The 19,618-nt window shown below is 45.4% G+C and overlaps 2 annotated features.

Annotated features, from left to right (window-relative positions):
- Positions 10,184-10,353: an enhancer, noted in NCBI's record as "experimental_63076 CRE fragment used in MPRA reporter constructs". NCBI's record gives its function as "activates a minimal promoter by MPRAs in K562 erythroleukemia cells, with activity observed for both the introgressed and non-introgressed 22:22253023 variant alleles {active_cell/tissue: K562}" and the evidence as "EXISTENCE:reporter gene assay evidence [ECO:0000049][PMID:34662402]".
- Positions 11,809-11,995: a silencer, noted in NCBI's record as "fragment chr22:22254563-22254749 (GRCh37/hg19 assembly coordinates)". NCBI's record gives its function as "represses an EF-1alpha promoter that drives an FKBP-Casp9 reporter gene in an ReSE screen in K562 erythroleukemia cells {active_cell/tissue: K562}" and the evidence as "EXISTENCE:reporter gene assay evidence [ECO:0000049][PMID:32094911]".

The following is a 19,618-nucleotide window of genomic DNA, read 5'->3' on the forward strand; positions in this document are numbered from 1 at the left end:
GAGCAGAAACTGCCTGAAGTAACTATTAGGTTGGTGCAAAAGTAATTGCGGTTTTTGCCATTACCGCAATTACTTTTCCACCTACCTATATTTTGGAATTCTGTGATGTAGTAGAATACTTGCATCGACCAGGAGAAAGTTTGATGAACAGGTGGGTAATTTTTTTTTTTTTTTTTTGAGACAGAGTGTCACTCTGTGACCCAGGCTGGAGTGCAATGGCACGATCTCTGCTCACTGCAACCTCTGCCTCTGGGGTTCAAGTAATTATCCTGCCTCAGCAATCCCAAGTAGCTGGGATTATAGGCACCCGCCACTATGCCTGGCTAATTTTTTGTATTTTTAGCAGAGACGGGTTTCACCATGTTGGTCAGGCTGGTCTCGAACTCCTGACCTCATGTGATCCGCCCGCCTCAGCCTCCCAAAGTGCTGGGATTACAGGCGTGAGCCACCGTGCCTGGCCTGTCTTAGTCACCATGCCTGGCTAATTTTTGTAGTTTTAGTAGAGACTGGGTTTTTCGCCACGTTGGCCAGGTTGGTCTTGAACTCTTGGCTTCAAGTGATCTGCCTGCCTGAGCCTCCAAAGTGGTGGGATTACAGGGGTTAGCCACTGCGTCGGCGAGGCGGGTAAAATTTTTTTTTTTTTTTTGAGACAGAGTTTCACTCTGTTGCCGGGCTGGAGTGCAGTGGAGCAATCTTGGCTCACTGCAACCTCTGCCTCCTGGGTTCAAGCAATTCTTCTGCCTCAGCCTCCCAAGTAGCTGAGACTACAGGCGCGCACCACTACGCCCGGCTAATTTTTATATTTTTAATAGAGACGGGTTTCACCATGTTGGCCAGGATGGTCTCGATCTCTTGACCTCGTGATCCACCTGCCTTGGCCTCCCAAAGTGCTGGGATTACAGGCTTGAGCCACCGCACCTGGCAGAGGCGGGTAAATTTTGATTTTACTTTTTCACATAGCAGGGGCTGCCATCTCTTATCCCCCAACCCCATGACAGGCAGCTGTGGGGACTGCAGTTCCCCATTCCTGGTGCAGCTTGCTGGACCTGGGGTGAGCAATAAGGACCTTGTCTTCCAAAAGTCAGAGTTGTGGGTTCTGATTATTGATTGTTGTTTTTGATTGCTGAGAGGCCAGCACAGAAGTTGGCCATTGTTTATATATCCACAGGCTGAAGCAACTTACCAAACATGAGGGGATTTAAAGAAACAGGACCTAGGTACTTTTTCCCTCTTGAGAACCAGACATTTAAAGAAATCTCTCATCAGGTCACTGGCTGACCCCAGAGACAATGGAAGAAAAATTTCAGTGAAAACACACAAGGAATACTTGCTTTACAAAAATAGCTTAGAAAAGTCACAAAAGGATGGTTCCAGCCATCAACAAGCAAAACCCAGCAATTCCTGAGGAGTGAGAGAATTAAGACTGCAGAACTACCACAACATAAGGCTCAGAATGTCCAGTTCACAGTAAAAAAAAAAACTACAGAATAGGCCAGGCGCGGTGGTCATGCCTGTAATCCAGCACTTTGGGAGGCCGAGACGGGTGGATCACGAGGTCAGGAGATCGAGACCATTCTGGCTAACACTGTGAAACCCTATCTCTACTAAAAATACAAAAACATTAGCCAGGCATGGTGGCGGGCGCCCAGCTACTCAGGAGGCTGAGGCAGGAGAATGGCATGAACCCGGGGGGCGGAGCTCACAGTGAACGGAGATCGCGCCACTGCACTCCAGCCTGGGCAACAGAGTGAGACTCCTTCTCAAAAAAAAAAAAAACAAAAACCAAGAACTACAGAATATACAAAGAAACATGAAAGTATGGCCCATTGAAAGGAAAAAAAATTGATGGAAACCATCCCTGAGAAAGCCTAGACATCAAAATTATTAGTGAAATACATTAAACCAACTGTCTTTAGTATGTTCAGTGAGCTAAAGGAAGACATGGAAAAGAACCAAAGTAAAAAAAACTGTTGTCTGAACAAAATGAGAATATCAATAAAGAGATAGAAATTAGCAAAAGTAACCAAAAAGATATTGTGAAATGAAAAGTGTAAAAACTGAAGTGAAAAACTCACTGGAGAGATATAACAGCAGATTTGAGCAGGCAGAAAGAAAGAAACGGTGAATGTGAAGACATTTGAAATTATCTAATCAGAGGAACAGAAAGAAGAAAAAAGAATTAAAAAGACTAAATAGGCCTAGGGAACTGTGGGACATCATTAAGTGGGTAAACATATGCTTTATAAGCATCCCAGGAGGAGAAGAGAAAGAGAAAAAGGGGCAGAAAAAATATTTTGGGGAAATAAAGGCTAAAAACTTCCATAATCTGATGACAGACATGAAGATACACACCCAAGAAGCACAAAGATTTTCAAGCAGGCTATCTCAAGAGAAATCCACACTGAAACATTATGTTCAAATTGTGGAAACTGAAGGACAAAGAGAGAATTTTGAAAGCAAGAGAGAAGCAACTCATCATGTACAAGTGATCCTCAATAAAATAAACAGCTGATTTCTTGTTAAAGGCATGGAGGCCAGAAGGCAGGGAATGGCATAAAGTCCTGAAAAAAAAATGTCAACCAAGAATTCGATTTCCAGCAGAATTATTATTATTATTATTTTTGAGATGGAGTCTCGCTCTGTCGCCCAGGGTGGAGTGCAGTGGCACAATCGGCTCACTGCAAGCTCCACCTCCTGGGTTTCCTCCATTCTCCTGCCTCAGCCTCCCAAGAATTCGATTTCCAGCAGAATTATTATTATTATTATTATTATTATTATTATTATTATTATTTTGAGATGGAGTCTCGCTCTGTCGCCCAGGGTGGAGTGCAGTGGCACAATCGGCTCACTGCAAGATCCACCTCCTGGGTTTCCTCCATTCTCCTGCCTCAGCCTCCCAAGTAGCTGGGACTATAGGCGCCCGCCACCAGGCCCGGCTAATTTTTTGTATTTTTGGTAGAGATGGGGTTTCACCGTGTTAGCCAGGATGGTCTTGATCTCCTGACCTCACGATCTGCCCACCTCAGCCTCCCAAAGTGCTGGGATTATAGGAGTGAGCCACCGCGCCCGGCCCCAGCACAATTATTTTTAAGGAATGAGGGAGAAATTAAGATGTTTCAAGATAAACAGAAGTTGAGAGAATTTATTACCGGTAGACCTGCCCTACAAGAAATGCTAATGGTAGTTCTTCGTGATAAAATAAAAAGATTCTAGGCCTGGCGTGGTGGCTCACACCTGTAATCTCAGCACTTTGGGAGGCTGAGGCAGGTGGATCACTTGAGGTTAGAAGTTCAAGACCAGCCTGGCCAACATGGCAAAACCCTGCCTCTACTAAAACAACTACAAAAATTAGCCAGGTGTGTTAGCATGTGCCTGTAATAATCCCAGCTACTCAGGAGGCTGAGGCAAGAGAATCGCTTGAACCCCGGAGGTGGAGGTTGCAGTGAGCCAAGATTGTGCCACTGCACTACAACCTGGGAGACAGAGCTAGACTCTGTCTCAAAAAATAATAATAAAAAAAAATAGATAAAAAATAACTGCTGGGCACAGTGGCTCACGCCTGTAATCCCAGCACTTTGGGAGGCTGAGGCAGGCAGATCACAAGGTCAAGAGATCGAGACCATCCTGGCCAACACGGTGAAACCCCATCTCTACTAAAAAAAATACAAAAAATTAGCCGGGCATGGTGGTGGGCGCCTGTAGTCCCAGCTACTTGGGAGGCTGAAGCAGGAGAATGGCGTGAACCTGTGAGGCGGAGCTTGTAGTGAGCCAAGATCGTGCCACTGCACTCCAGCCTGGGTGACAGCGAGACTCTGTCTCAAAAAAAAAAGAAAAAAGAAAAAAAGAAAGAAAAGAAATAAAAATAAATAAAAAGATGGCCAGGCGCAGTGGCTCACACCTTTAATCCCAGCACTTTGGGAGGCCGAGGTGGGTGGATGATCTGAGGTCAGGAGTTCGAGACCAGCCTGGCCAACATGGTGAAACCACATCTCTACTAAAAATACGAAAAGTAGCCAGGCGTGGTGGTGCATGACTGTAGTCCCAGCTACTTGGGAGGCTGAGGCAGGAGAATCACTTGAACCTGGGGGCTGGAGGTTGCAGTGAGCTGAGATCACACCACTGCACTCCAACCTGGGGGACAGAGTGAGACTCTGTCTCCAAATAAATAAATACATAAATATAAATAAAAAGATGTTAAATAGTTACTTGAAGACATAAGAAAAAAAGGACACTAGTAAAGTTAATTTCCTATGCAAATACAAATGCCAATATTGGCCGGGCATGGTGGCTCATGCCTGTAACCCCAGCACTTTGGGAGGCTGAGGTGGATCACGAGGTCAGGAGATTGAGACCATCCTGGCTAACGTGGTGAAACCCCGTCTCTACTAAAAATACAAAAAAAGTAGCCAGGCGTGGTGGCGGGCACTTGTAGTCCCAGCTACTCGGGAGGCTGAGGCAGGAGAATGGCGTGAACCCGGGAGGCAGCGCTTGTAGTGAGCCGAGATCGCACCACTGCACTCGAGGCTGGGCGACAGAGTGAGACTCCATCTCTAAATAAATAAATGCCAATATTACTGTACTTTTGGTTTGGTTTTTAACCTCTCTCTTTTTCTCATATGATTTAAAAGGTAAATGCAGGCCAGGCATGGTGTAATGCCAGCACTTTGGGAGGCCAAGGTGGGCAGACTGCTTGAGCCCAGGAGTTTGAGACTAGTCTGGGCAACATGGTGAAACCTCGTCTCCAAAAAAAAAAAAAAAAATTAGCCAGGTGTGGTGGCCTATGCCTATAATCCCGGCTACACCGGGGGCTGAGGTGGGAGGATTGCTTGACCCTGGGAGGCAGAGGTTGCAGGGAGCTGTGATCCCACCACTGCACACCAGCCTGGGTGACAGAACAAGACTTTGAGATGGAGTTTCACTCTTGTTGCCCAGGCTGGAGTGCAATGGTGCCAGCCCACTGCAACCTCTGCCTCCCGGGTTCAAGTGATTCTCCTGCCTCAGCCTCCCGAGTAGCTGGGATTACAGGCATGTGCCACCACGCCCGACTAATTTTGTATTTTTAGTAGAGATGAGGTTTCTCCATGTTGGTCAGCCTAGTCTCGAACTCCTGACCTCAGGTAATCCACCCGCTCGGCCTCCCAAAGTTTTGGGATTACAGGCATGAGCCACCGTGCCTGGCCTAAAAAACTTTTTCTATACGGGGTTTTGCTATGTTTCCCAGGCTAGTCTTGAACTCCTGGCCTCAAGTGAGCCTCCCACCTCGGCTTCCCAAAGTACTGAGCCTGTAATCAGGCTTGAGCCACTGCACTGGCCCTGATTTTAAAACTTACTGTAAAGCCGGGCACGGTGGCTCACACCTGTAATCCCAGCCCTGACTAACATAGAGAAACCTCATGTCTACTAAAAATACAAAAAAATTAGCCGGGCGTGGTGGCGCATGCCTGTAATCCCAGCTACTTGGGATCCTGAAGCAGGCGAATCACTCGAACCCAGGAGGCGGAGGTTGCAGTGTGCTGAGATTGCACCATTGCACTCCAGCCTGGGCAACAAGAGCGAAACTCCATCTCAAATAAGAAAAAAAAAGACCAGGCGTGGGGGCCCACGCCTGTAATCCCTACACTTTGGGAGACCAAGGCGGGTGGATCGCAAAGTCAGGAGATGGAGACCATCTCTACTAAAAATACAAAAATTAGCTCGCTGTGGTGGCCTGCACCTGTAATCCCAGCTACTCAGGAGGCTGAGGCAGGAGAATTGCTTCAACCTGGGAGGTGGAGATTGCAGTGAGCCGAGATCACACCACTGCACTCCAGCCTGGCAACAGAGCGAAACTCCGTCTCAGAAAACAAACAAACAAACAAAAACTTACTGCAAAACAACAGTAATCAAAACCGTGGGTACTGGCATGAAGGCAGACATAGACAAATGGAATTGAATAGAGAGCCTAGAAATAAACTCTCTCATATATGATCAAATGATTTTTGACAAAGATGACAAGACCATTCAGTGGAAAGGACAGTCTCTATAACAAATGTCACTGGGAAAACTGGATAGCCATAATCAAAAGAATGAGATTGGACCCCTACCTCACAGCGTGTACAAATATTAGCTCAAAATGAATTAAAAACCTGAATATAAGAGTTAGAACTATAAAACTTTTAGGAGAAAGCATAGAAGAGAGGCTTCGTGACACACCAAAAGCATAAGCAACAAAATAAATAAATAAATAGATCAGACTTGAGCAAAATTAGAATCCTTTGTGTATCAAAGGATACTATTAAGATAGTAAAAAGGCAACCCACAGAATGGGAGAAAATGTTTGCAAATCATATATCTGAAAAGGGGTTAAAGTCCAGAATATATAGAGAGAATTCCTACAACTGAACGACAACAAAACAAACAACCCAATTTAAAAATGGACAAAAAATTTTCCCAGTGTGGTGGCGCGAACCTGTAGTCCCAGCCACTCAGGAGGCTGAGGCACAAGAATCGCTTGAACTGGGTAGGCAGAGATTGCAGTAAGCCGAGATCATGCTACTGCACTCCAGCCTGGGCAGCAGAGCGAGATTCTGTATCAAAATAAAAAAAACAAGCAAAAAAATGGACAAAAGACTTGAGTAGGTGTTTCTCCAAAGAAGACATATGAATGGCAAATAAACACATAAAATTATGTGGAGATATATTGGAACCCTGATACATTGCTGGTGGGAATACAAAATTATTCAGCCACTGTGGAAAACAGTTTAACGGTTCCTTAAAAAGTTAAACGTAGAATTACCATATGGCTCAGCAATTTCACTCCTATTTGTATACCCCAAATATTTGATAAAAGGGACTCAATGTTCATAGCATACTATTCATAATAGCCAAAAGATGCAAACAACCCAAATGCTGATCAACAGATGAATGGATAAACAAAATGTGCATACAGATACAGTGGAATATTATTCATCTAGAAAAGGAATGAATTGTCATAATTTTTTTTTTTTTGAGACGGAATCTTGCACTGTCCCCCAGGCTGGAGTGCAGTGGCTTGATCTCTGCTCACTGCAAGCTCCGCCTCCTGGGTTCATGCCATTCTCCTGCCTCAGCCTCCGAGTAGCTGGGACAACAGGCGCCCACCACCACGTCCAGCTAATTTTTCGTATTTTTAGTAGAGATGGGGTTTCACCGTGTTAGCCAGGATGGTCTCGATCTCCTGACTTCGTGATCCGCCCGCCTCGGCCTCCCAAAGTGCTGGGATTACAGGCGTGAGCCACCGCGCCCGGCCGAATTGTTATAATATTATGGTAAGTGAAATAAGCCAGTCACAGGCCAGGCACAGTGGCTCACGCCTGTAATCCCAGCACTTCGGGAGGCCGAAGTGGGCCGATTGCTTGAGCTCAGGAGTTGGAGACCAGCATGGGCAACGAAACACAAAATACAAAAAAATTAGTCAGGCGTGGTGGTGCATGCCTGTAGTCCCAGCTCCTCAGGAGGCTGAGATGAGAGAATTGCAGCGAGCCATGATCATACCACTGCACTCCAGCCTGGGCGACAGAGCGATACTCTGTCTCAAAATAAGTAAATTAATTAATTAATTACAAAAATTGACAACCAGTTGGTCTCTATCTTCAAAAAATTCTGCTGGGATTCTAATTGGAATTGTGTTACAGTTGTAGGTTAATCTGGGGATAACTGACATATTTGAGTATTTCAATCCATGAAAACAATATGTCTATCCATCTATTTAGGTCTTCTTTATTAATTTATTTCACCAAGATTTTATAGTTTTTTTTTTTTTTTTTTTTTGAGACAGCATCTAACTCTACAGCCCAGGCTGGGGTGCAGTGGTGCGATCTCGGCTCACTGCAGCTTTGACCTCCCAGGCTCAAGTGATCCTCCCACCTCAGCCCTTTAAGTGGCTGGGACTACAGGCACGAACCACCATCCAGGGCTAATTTTTGTAATTTTCGTAGAGACAGGGTTTCTTTCTTTCTTTCTTTCTTTTTTTTTTTTTTGAGACGGAGTCTTGCTCTGTTGCCCAGGCTGGAGTGCAGTGGCGCAATCTCAGCTGACTGCAACCTCTGCCTCCCAGGTTCAAGGGATTCTCCTGACTCAGCCTCCCAAGTACCTGTGACTACAGGCATGACTACAGGCATTCCTGGCTATTTTTTGTATTTTTTGTAGACATGGGGTTTCACCATGTTGGCCAGGCCTGTTCATATTTTGTTAGATTTATATGATATGTTTCATGTGTTTTGGAGTTATTGTAAATGGTATTTAAAACATCTTTTGTTTCCAATTTTCAGTATATAGAAACACTGTGAATTTTCCTATATCAGCCCTGTATTCTGCAACCTTGGTAAACTCATTGGTTAGTTTTTTTGTTTGTTTTTTAGAGATGGGGTCTCTCTATGTTGCTCTAGCCTGTGCAACAGGGAAATCTCAGCTCTAAAATTCACAGGCACAATCATAGTGCACTGCAGTGTTGATCTCCTGGGCTCAAGTGATCCTCCTGGCTCCACCTCACATGCCATGGCACCTGGCTAGCTCACAGAGTTTTGGAGTTTTTAGCAATCATGTCATCTGCAAATAGAGAGAAATTTATTTCTTCCTGTCCAATCTGTATTTCTTTATTTCTTTTTCTTGCCTTATTGCACTAACTAGGACTTCCATTACAATGTTTGTTTGTTTGTTTGTTTTTAGAGACAGGGTCTCGCTCTGTTGTCCAGGCTGAAGTGCAGTGGCCTGATTATAGCTCACTGCAGCCTCAAACTCCTGGGCTCAAGCAATCCTCAACCTCAGCCTCTCAGAGTAGCTGGGACTATAGGAGTGCACCACCACGTCCAGCTAATATTTTTAAATTTTTTGTAGAGACAGGGTCTTGCTATGTTGCCCAGGCTGGTTTCAAACTCCTGGGCTCAAGCAGTCCTCCTGCCTCAGTCTCTCAAAGCACCTGAATATAGGTGTGAGCCACCGCACACTGCCTTACAATGTTGAATAGGACCCGTAAGAGTGTATATCCCTTGCTTGTTCTCAAACTTAGGGGGAAAGTATTTCGTCTTTCACTATTAATTTTAATGTTGAGAAAGTTCCCTTCTGTCCATAGCTTGTGAAGAGGTTTTTCTCATGAATGGATGTTGAATTTTGTCAATTTTTTTTTCTGTATCAATGGATATGATCATGTGTATTTTTTCTTTAGGCTTTTAATATGGTAAATTACATTAATTTTTGAATAATAAACAAACCTTGCATTCCTAGGATAAACTCCACTTAGTAGCAGTAGTATATTATTCTTCTTACATATTGCTGGATTTGATTTTCTAATATTTTGCTGGGGGGTTTTGTATCTATCTTCATGACGGATATAGTTTTGTAGTTTTCTTGTACTGTTTTTGACTGGATTTGGCATTAGAGTAATGCCGGTCTCATTAAATGAGTTGTGGAGTGTTCCTGCCTATTTGTTTTCTGAAAGTGATTGTGTAGAATTGGAGCTATTTTTTACTTTTTTTTTGAGACTGAGTCTCACTCTGTCACCCAGGCTGGAGTGCAGTGGCGCGATCTTGGCTCACTGCAACCTCCGTCTCCTAGATTCAAGCGATTCTCCTGCCTCAGCCTCCCGAATAGCTGGGATTACAGGCATGAGCCACCATGCCTGGCTAATTTTTGTATTTTAGTAGAGATGGGGTTTCACCATGTTGGCCAGGCTGGTCTTGAACTCCTGACCTCAGGTGATCGGTCCGCCTTGGCCTCCCAAAGTGCTGGGATTACAGACGTGAGCCACCGCACCCGGCCTCTATCAAACATTTAAAGAAAAAATAGTACCTAGTTTGATAGAATTCTCCAGTGAAACCACTGGGGCCTGGAGATTTCTTTTTCAGGAAGGTTTAAACTGTTAATTTCTTTAATAGCTCTAGAACTACTCAGATTATCTATTTCATCTTGGGTGAGTTTGGTACTTTGTGGGCCTTGGGGAATTGAACCATTTAATTTAACTGGTTGAATTATTTGTGTGTGTGGAGTTGTTTGTGGTATTCCTTTATTATCCTTTTAATATCTTTAAGGTTTGTGATTATATCTTCTCTTTCATTCCTCATATTGGAAATTGGTAATTTTGTGTTTTTTTTTTTTTTTTTTTTTTTTTGGTTCGTCTCATTGGAGGTACCATTCATTGATTTCCTCAAAGAAACAGTTTCTGCTTTCATTGATTTTTCTCTATTGTTTTTCTGTTTTCAGTTTCATTGATTTTTGGATTTATTTTTATTTCATACATCTTGCTTGCTTTCAGCTTATTTTGCTCTTCTTTTGTCATTTCTTGAAGTAGGAACTTAGATTATTGATTTGAGACTTTTCCTTTTTTCTAATGTAAGATTTAGTGCTATAATTTTTTTAGCACTCTTTAGCTCCCATACATTTTGATATGCTGTACTTTTTTATTGTTTGATATATTTATTTTGTTTGAGACTCCCTCTTTGACTACTCATGGATTATTTAATAATAAGTATAAGCTGGGCATGGTGGTGCACACCTGTAGTACCAGATACCTGGGAGGCTGAAGTGAGAGGATCACTTGAGCCTGGGAAGTTGAGGCTGCAGTGAGCTGGGATCACACCACTGCACTCCAGTCTAGGCGATATATTGTTTAATTTCTAATAGTCTGGAAGGTTTTTTGTTCTATTTCTCTTATTGATATCAAGACTAATTTTATCATGATCAGGAAACATACTTTGTATAATTTCTATTCATATTTATTAAGGCTTTTTTTTTTTTTTTTACAAAGTCTCGTTCTGTTGCCCAGGCTGGAGTGGAGTGGCACGGTCTCAGCTCACTGCTACCTCCGCCTCCCAGGTTTTAAGCGATTCTCCTGCCTCAGCCTCCCGAGTAGCTGGGATTACAGGCACCTGCCACCATGCCTGGCTAATATTTGTATTTTTAGTAGAGACAGGGTTTTAACATGTTGGCCAAGCTGGTCTTGAACTCCTGTTCTCAGGTGATCCACCCGCCTCAGCCTCTCAAAGTGCTGGGATTACAGGTGTGAGTCACCACGCTCAGCTGCAAACATTCCCTTTTTTTATTTTGTTTTTTGAGATGAAGTTTCACTCTTGTTGCCCAGGCTGAAGTGCAATGGCACGATCTCGGCTCACTGCAACCTCCGCCTCCAGGGTTCAATTGATTCTTCTGCGTCAGCCTCCCAGGTAGCTGGGATTATAGGCATGTGCCACCACGGCCAGCTAATTTTATATTTTTAGTAGAGATGGGGTTTCTCCATGTTGGTCAGGCTGGTCTTGAACTCCCAACCTCAGGTGATCCGCGCCCCCATTGGCCTCCCAAAGTGCTGGGATTACAGGAGTGAGCCACCGTGCCTGGCCGCAAAAATTCTTAATTTCACTTTCATTCCTTAAGGGTATTTTCACTGCATATAGAATTCTGGGTTAATAATTTTTTCTTTCTTTCAGCATTTAGTAACTATTGTTGCACTTCTGATAAGAAATCTGCTGTCACTTGAATTGCTCTCATTTAAGTAATTCTTTTTTTTTTATTGCTGTTTTCAAGATTTCTTTGTCTTTAGTTTTCAAGTTTGATTATTATGTGTCTGGTCATAAGTTTATTTGAAATTATTCTATTTTTGGTTCACTGAGCTTTTTTAATTTCTAGGCTTATATCTTTTACCAAATTCAGGAAGTTTTTTTTTTTTTTTTTTTTTTGAGATGGAGTCTCGCTGTCTGGAGTACAGTGGTGCAGCCTCGGCTCACTGCAACCTCTGCCTCCCGGATTCAAGTGATTCTCCTGCCTCAGCCTTCTGAGTAGCTGGGATTACAGGTGCGTGCCACCCTGCCTGGCTAATTTTTGTATTGTTAGCAGAGACTGGGTTTCACTTTGTTGGCCAGGCTCGTCGCAAACTCCCGACCTCAGGTGATCTGTTGGCCTTGGCCTCCCAAAGTCCTGGAATTACAGGTGTGAGCCACCGTGCCTGGCAAAATTCAGGAAGTTTTCAACTGGTATTTTTTAAATTCTTTTTTCTGCACTACATGCTTTCTCTTCTCGTTGTGTAATTTAGGTAACACAAATACTAGACTTTTCAGCTTTGAACATATCCCTGACACTGTTTTTTTTTCTTCAGTTTATTTTTCTCTCTGTTGTTCTGATTGTATAATTTCTTTTTGTCTATCCTGAAGTTCACTGGCTGTTTCCCTGTCATCTCCATTCTATTACTGAGATCATTCAGTGAGGTTCTTTTTTTCAGTTATTGTATTTTTTCAGTTCTAGTTTTCACTTGCTTCTTCATTATATCTTCTATTTCTTTGCTGAAACATCTTTCCAGTTGTTTCAGTAATGTTTGCCCTTACTTACTGGAGCATTTTAAAAAATAGCAGCCGCTTTAAAGCCTTTGTCAGATAATTCCATTGTCTGTGTCATGTCAGCACTGACATCTGTTGATTTTCTTTTCCCAGGCAAGTTGAGATTTTCCTGGCCTTTTGTAAACTAAAGAATATGTTCTCGGCCGGGCACGGTGGCTCACGCCTGTAATCCCAGCACTTTGGGAGGCCGAGGCGGGTGGATCACCTGAGGTCAGGAGTTCAAGACCAGCCTGGACAACATGGTGAAACCCCGTCTCTACTAAAAAATACAAAATTAGCCAGTCTTGGTGGCGCATGCCTGTAATCCCAGCTACTCGGGAGGCTGAGGCAGGAGAATCGCTTGAACCCAGGAGGCAGAGGTTGCGGTGAGCCGATATTGCACCACTGCACTCCGGCCTGGACAACAAGAGCGAAACTCCATCTCCAAAAAAAAAAAAAAAAAAAAGAATACGTTCTCATTGTTACACATGTATTGGATTATGTCTTGTTCTGTTTGGGCTGCTGTAACAAAAATATCATAGGCTGGGTGGCTTATAAACAACAGAAAGTTATTTCTCACAGTTTGGAGGTTGTAAGTCCAAGATCAAGGTGCTGGAAGCTTTAGTGTCTGATGCATGCCTGTTTCCTGGTTTGTAGACGGCTGTCTTCTTGCTGTGTCCTCACATAGCAGGAATTGTGAGGTAGTTCTCTGGGGTGTCTTTTTTATATTTATTTATTTATTTATTTATTTATTTATTTATTTATTGAGACAGAGTCTTGCTCTGTCGCCCAGGCTGGAGAGCAGTGGTACAATCTCAGCTCACTGCAACCTCCGCCGCCCGGGTTCAAGCAATTCTGCCTCAGCCTCCCGAGTAGCTGGGACTATAGGTGCATGCCACCATGCCCAGCTAATTTTTTGTATTTTTAGTAGATTCAGGGTTACACTATGTTGGCTAGGCTGGTCTCAAACTCCTGACCTCCGGTGATCCACCCACCTCAGCCTCCCAAAGTGCAAGGATTACAGGCATGAACCACTGTGCCCGGCTGGGGTGTCTTTTATAAGAGCACTAATCCCATTCATGAGGGATCTATCTTCATGATCTAATCACTTCCCAAAGGCTCCACCTCCATGCCCTCACACTGTAGATTAGGTTTCAGCATATAAATTTTTTTTTTTTTTGAGACAGAGTCTTGCTCTGTCACCCAGGCTGGGGTGCAGTGGTGCAATCTCAGCTCACTGCAAGTTCCGCCTCCTGGGTTCACGCCATTCTCCTGCCTCAGCCTCCCAAGTAGCTGGGACTACAGGTGCCTGCCACCACACCCGGCTAATTTTTTGTATTTTAATAGAGACGAGGTTTCACCGTGTTAGCCAGGATGGTCTCAATCTCCTGACGTTGTGATCCGCCCGCCTCGGCCTCCCAAAGTGCTGGGATTACAGGCGTGAGCCACCGCACCCGGCCTAACATATGAATTTTGAGGGGACACAAACAGTCTATAGCAGATTTCATCCTGGACACTTAAAATATTATATCATGGGATTCTGGGTTCTGTTTAAATCCTATGAGAATGTGGAAATTTTTGTTTAAGCAGGCAATTGACTGGGTTGGTTTCACGCTGCAAGATTTGACCACTCCTCTGTGGGTTATGGTTTCAATATCAGTTGTGTTTTCAAAGCCTATGTTGTGCTATTCAGCTCTATCCCCTGGGGCACCACCCAGGGGTCAGTCCCATACTTCAGTTCTCAAAGCCTATGGTATGCTGTTTATTTGAGAAGGTGTCTCACTCTGTCACCCGGGCTGGAGTGCAGTGGCGCAATCTCAGATCACTGCAACCTCTGCCTCCCGGGCTCAAGCGATCCTCCCACCTTCACCTCCCGAGTAGCTGGAACTACAGGCACGTGCATCATGCTCAGCTAAGTTTTTTGTTTTTTGTAGAGACGGGGTTTCACCATGTTGCCCAGGCTGGTCTTGAACTCCTGAGCTCAAGCAATCTGCTCATCTCGGCCTCCCAAAGTGCTGCGATTACAGGAGTGAGCCTCTGTGCCCAGCCTGGTTTAGAGTCAGCTCCATACATACACATCTTTGGGGTGAGTCTAGGAATTCATAAACAACTTTCAATCCTCCTAGTCCTTTCCAGTTTGTTGGGGTTCCCTCTTCCAGTCCTCTGTCCAGAAAGGTGTGGCTTTATTTCCTCAATTTCGCCACATACTTCCCATGACTAGATCCATACTGGGAGCCAAGCAGTGGAGGGCAGAGAAAAAAGCCCTGCCCTATTGGGAATCACATCTCTTCTGATCAAAGATGAGGTTTCCTTCTTTCAGAAGTTTAGGCTCCCGAACTCCCCCAGTGCCACTGCTATCACTGTGGCTGCCACCAACACAAAGTTGCCTACAGGATGGTACAAGAAATACTGGGGGGGAAAAGGAAAAAAGACAAATGGGCTATTTCCCTATTTGCTCTGCATGTTAGGAGGCTCCTTCCTCACCCCTCTAGCCAGAGGTAGTGGGTTTCTCCTGAAGCTCTCTCGGTCCACAGCGATACATACTTCGGGTTCCAGGCTGCATTAAGTCTGGACTGAAGGAAACAAGTTGGGGGGAACTCACTACCAGGTCAGTAGCACTTAGAATTCAGTATTCTTCCTCACTGTGCCCATATCATTTGCCGTTTCAAGTTCTTAGCGGGATGCCCTTGCAGCTGTCCAGGTTTTCTAGCTGCATTCAAAGGGAGAGACACAGAGAAGTGTGCTGACTCCACCTTCCCTAGCATATTTTATTCTGCAGGATGTCCCCAACCCAGGGATGCATTATGGCTGTAGGCTGTATGCATTTTTGCACTTTTCAGTCCCTTCTTTCACACACACACACACACACACACACACGAAAAAAAGAAAAAATTTCAATACGTTTCATATTGCATTGGTATGAAGATAAATATAATCAAGGTTGGATTCATTATTGTTATGCTTTTTTTTCTGATTTCAAAATAAATTAAAACCAAAGCAGCCGGGCGCAGTGGCTTATGCCTGTAATCCCAGCCCTTTGGGAGGCCGAGGTGGGTGGATCACTTGAGGTTAGGAGTTTGAAACCAGCCTGGCCAATATGGTGAAACCCCATCTCTACTAAAAATACAAAAATTAGCTGGGCATAGTGGCACATGCCTGTAATCCCAGCTACTTGGGAGGCTGAGGCATGAGAATTACTTGAACCCCAGAGGCGGAGATTGCAGTAAGCTGAGATCGCGCCACTGCACTCCAGCCTGGGTGACACAGTGAGACTCCATCTCAAAAAAAAAAAAAAAAAAATCCCAAACCAAAAACAACTAAAGCATGTTTTGTGTGCCTGTAAAAATCTCCTGGATGAGTCGGCCCTGTCTCAGTCTGGGTCTGTTCAGTGTGTCCTCATGACTCGCCCCGGCCCCGCGTTGTTGGTTGTAATCCTGCAGAAACAATGCCATGTTTCCCCATTGATTCGTGTCAGGAGGCACACGACGATGACTTGGGCATCATGGTGACTTTGGTTACACAGCGAAGTCGGTGTCCACCAGGTCTCTCCACCATGCAGCTCTCCTTGTCTCCTTTGCATTGGATAAGTATTTTGTGGAGAGATATTGGAGACTATACCAATACTCCAGTTGCCTATTTTTGCCTAATTAACTACTCCCAAATTTAGCAACATTACCAAAACCATTTTATTGTGCCTGTGAGCTCTGTGGGCTAGGACTTCAGGCAGGACACAGCAGGTCCAGCTTCTCTCTGCTCCATGATGCCTGGCCCTCCACTGAAGTGACTTCAACTGCCAGAAGCGGCTCCCATGGCTGGTGGATGGGGCATCCATTTCCCTGATGGCTCCTGGGTGGGGTGGCGGAAGGAAAGGCTCAGCAGGGATTATTTGCTGGAGCCACCATCATGTGGCCTCTCCTTGAGGCTTGGGATTTGCACAGCATGGTGGCAGGGCTCTGAGAGGGAACCTGTCAAGAGAGAAGAGCTCCAAGAGACAAAGGCCAAAGCTGCAGGGTCTGCTGACCTGGCCTTGAAGTCACACAGTGTCACTCCTGCCATGCTGTATTGGTTATGGCCAAGTCCTTGCCGTCTGCTCAGATTCAAGGTGAGGGAAACTAGACTGTCCTCCTGATGGGGGTGTGGCAGGAGACCTGTGTGTGGTGGGAGAGTTTTTTTTTTTTTTTTTTTTTTGAGACAGAGTCTCACTCTGTTGCCAGGCTGGAGTGCAGTGGCGCGATCTCGGCTCACCGCAACCTCTGACTCCCTGGTTCAAGCGATTCTCCTGCCTCAGCCTCCCGAGTAGCTGGGATTACAGGCACGCGCCACCATGCCCAGCTAATTTTTGTATTTTTAGTGGAGATGGGGTTTCACCATGTTGGCCAGGATGGTCTCCATCTCCTGCCCTCGCGATCAACCCATCTCAGCCTCCCAAAGTGCTGGGATTTACAGGAGTGAGCCACTGCGCCCGGCTGGGAGATTTTTTTTTTTCCTTTTTTTTTTGAGACGGAGTCTCGCTCTTGTCACCCAGGCTGGAGTGCGGTGGCACGATCTCGGCTCACTGCAACCTCTGCCTTCCGGGTTCAAGTGATTCTCCTAACTCAGCCTACCAAGTAGCTGGGATTACAGGCAACTATCACCACACCTGGCTAATTTTTGTGTTTTTAGTAGAGACGGGGTTTTACCATGTTGGCCAGACTGATCTCGAACTCCTAACCTCAAGTGATTCGCCCACCTCGGCCTCCCAAAGTGCTGAGATTACAGGCCTGAGCCACACTGCGCCCAGCCATATTTTGCAATATTCTGTACCTCATCCACTCTCCACCCACCAGCCTTAGCCTCCCTAGGTCTGTAACCCTCCTGCTTGAATCAGCTTATCAGAATGATACTTACCAAGTGGTGCTTTCTCTATTTTCATCACCCCTCTCCATTCATGGGTTGGCACTGTCCTGTAAGGAAGAGCCTTCCCTTCTCTTCAGTCAGCACAGAATCATGGACGCCTATATTATGCAGTAGTTTGTAGTCTCTCTCTCTTTTTTTTTTGTTTTTTGAGACAGAGTCTTGCTCTATTGCAACCTCTATCTCCTGGGGTCTGGTGATTTTCGTGCCTCAGCCTCCTGAGTAACTGGGACTACAAGCACATGCCACCACACCCGTCTAATTTTTTAAAAAGTATTTCTTGTAGAGACAGGATATCCCTATGTTGCCCAGGCTGGTCTTGAACTCCTGGCTCAAGCGATCCTCCTGTCTTGGCCTCCCAAAGTACTGGGAGCACAGGTGTGGGCCACTGCACCTGGCCATCTGGTCATTTTTATTTGGATGCTCCGATTGTCCCAGACTTGGCCAATGGGAGCCCCTTCAGGCTGGCTCCCACATCTTTATATACACACGTATGAAGAGCCCACACTGACATCTCCAGTGCCTCGGGGCTCTTTTCAGCCTTTCCTCTTTCCATATTTGTAATTCTCATCTCCAGCAGTGAGAAACCTGGCTCCCATTATCCTCAATGTATTTGCTTGATTTTTTATCCACACCAGCTGCCTCCTCAGCTTCCAGCCACGTTGCCATCTCCAAGGAAAGGGAAGAGGGAGGAAGAGAGGAGAGAAATGTGGAGGAAGAGGGTCTTTTTTTTTTTGAGACAGTGTCTTGCTCTCTCACCCAGGCTGAAGTGCAGTGGCACAATCTTGGCTCACTGCAACCTCCGCCTCCTGGGTTCAAGCAATCTCCCTGCCTCAGCCTCCGTAGTAGCTGGGATTACAGGTGGCTGCCACCATGCCAGTTAATTTTTTTGAGACGTAGTCTCACTCTGTTCCCCAGGCTGGAGTGCAGTGGTGCGATCTCGGCTCACTGCAAGCTCCACCTCCCAGGTTCACGCCATTCTCCTGCCTCAGCCTCCCAAGTAGCTGGGACTACAGGCGCCCGCCACCATGCCCGGCTGATTTTTTGTATTTTGGGTAGAGACAGGTTTCATCATGTTAGCCAGGATGGTCTCGATCTCCTGACCTCGTGATCTGCCCGCCTCGGCCTCCCAAAGTGCTGGGATTACAGGCGTGAGCCACCGCGCCTGGCCACTAATTTTTGTATTTTTTAGTAGAGACAGGGTTTTACCATGTTGGCCAGGCTGGTCTTGAACTCCTGATCTCAGGTGATCCGCCCACCTCGGCCTTCCAAAGTGCTGGGATTACAGGTTTGAGCCACGGTGCTGGGCAAGGAGGGTCTTAAACACTTAGCAACGCAGCCCTCCACTCTGTCCGCACTTATTCTGCCCTGACTGCTGCTCATCTGGCCTCTCTGTGGCAATTAGCCTTCAGCCTCTTCCTCAGCTCATTGTCTCCATCTGGTTTCCAAGAAGGTTTCTTTTCTTTCTACTTTACAATTTTTTTTTAACTACAAAAACATTTCATGCTCATTTTTACAAATTCAGTAATGCACATAAAGCACATAAAGTAAGGCACACAAAGCACAGCATGAACGCCCTCAGCCACCCTCTCCATGCCACCTCCAAGAGCCAACCAGACTTCTTCCCTGTTTACCCAAGAATGCCCCTATTGTTTGTACCTAGGATTTGGAGGCTGCACTGAGCTGAGTGGGTCACTGCACTCCAGCCTGGGAAACAGAGAGAGAGCCTGTCTCAAAAAAAAAAAAAAAAAAAAAAAAAAAAAAGAATATGCATAAATGCTTACTTTATTTATTTATTTATTGAGACAGGGCCTCGCTCTGTCGCCCAGGCTGAAATGCAGTGGTGCGATTTCGGCTCACTTCAACCTCCGCCTCCCAGGTTCAAGTATTTCTCCCACCTCAGCCTCCCCAGTGGCTGGGACTACAGGCGTTCGCCACCATGTCCAGCTAATTTTTCTATTTTTTGGTAGAGATGGGGTTTCACCATGTTGGCCAGGCTGGTCTCAAACTCCTGACCTCAGATGATCCACCTGCTATTATATAATCACCACCTGGGATTATAGGCATGAGCTTCCACAACCGGCCCTGAAATACTTATATAATGCTTTTTGTTTTGTTTTGAGTCACGGTCTTGTAAACATAGTTTACTGCAGCCTCAGCCTCCTGGGCTCACATGATCCTCCTGCCTTGGCCTCCCAAAGTGCTGAGATTATGGGTGGTGAGCCACCACATCCGGCCTTATCCATGTGATTTTCAAGGGACATTGTCCAGGAGGCAGCTGGAGATGTGGTCCTCGCCCACCGAACATCACTGGGGCTGGCAAGCCCTGGCTCTTGCTTTATGAGGGTCACTCAGCAGCACAGTTGAAGTATCAAGTATCTCAGCAATGCCTGTGTTAGGGCATTGGT

The sequence above is a fragment of the Homo sapiens genome, chromosome 22, assembly GCF_000001405.40.
Source record: "Homo sapiens chromosome 22, GRCh38.p14 Primary Assembly".
Lineage (NCBI taxonomy): Eukaryota > Metazoa > Chordata > Mammalia > Primates > Hominidae > Homo > Homo sapiens.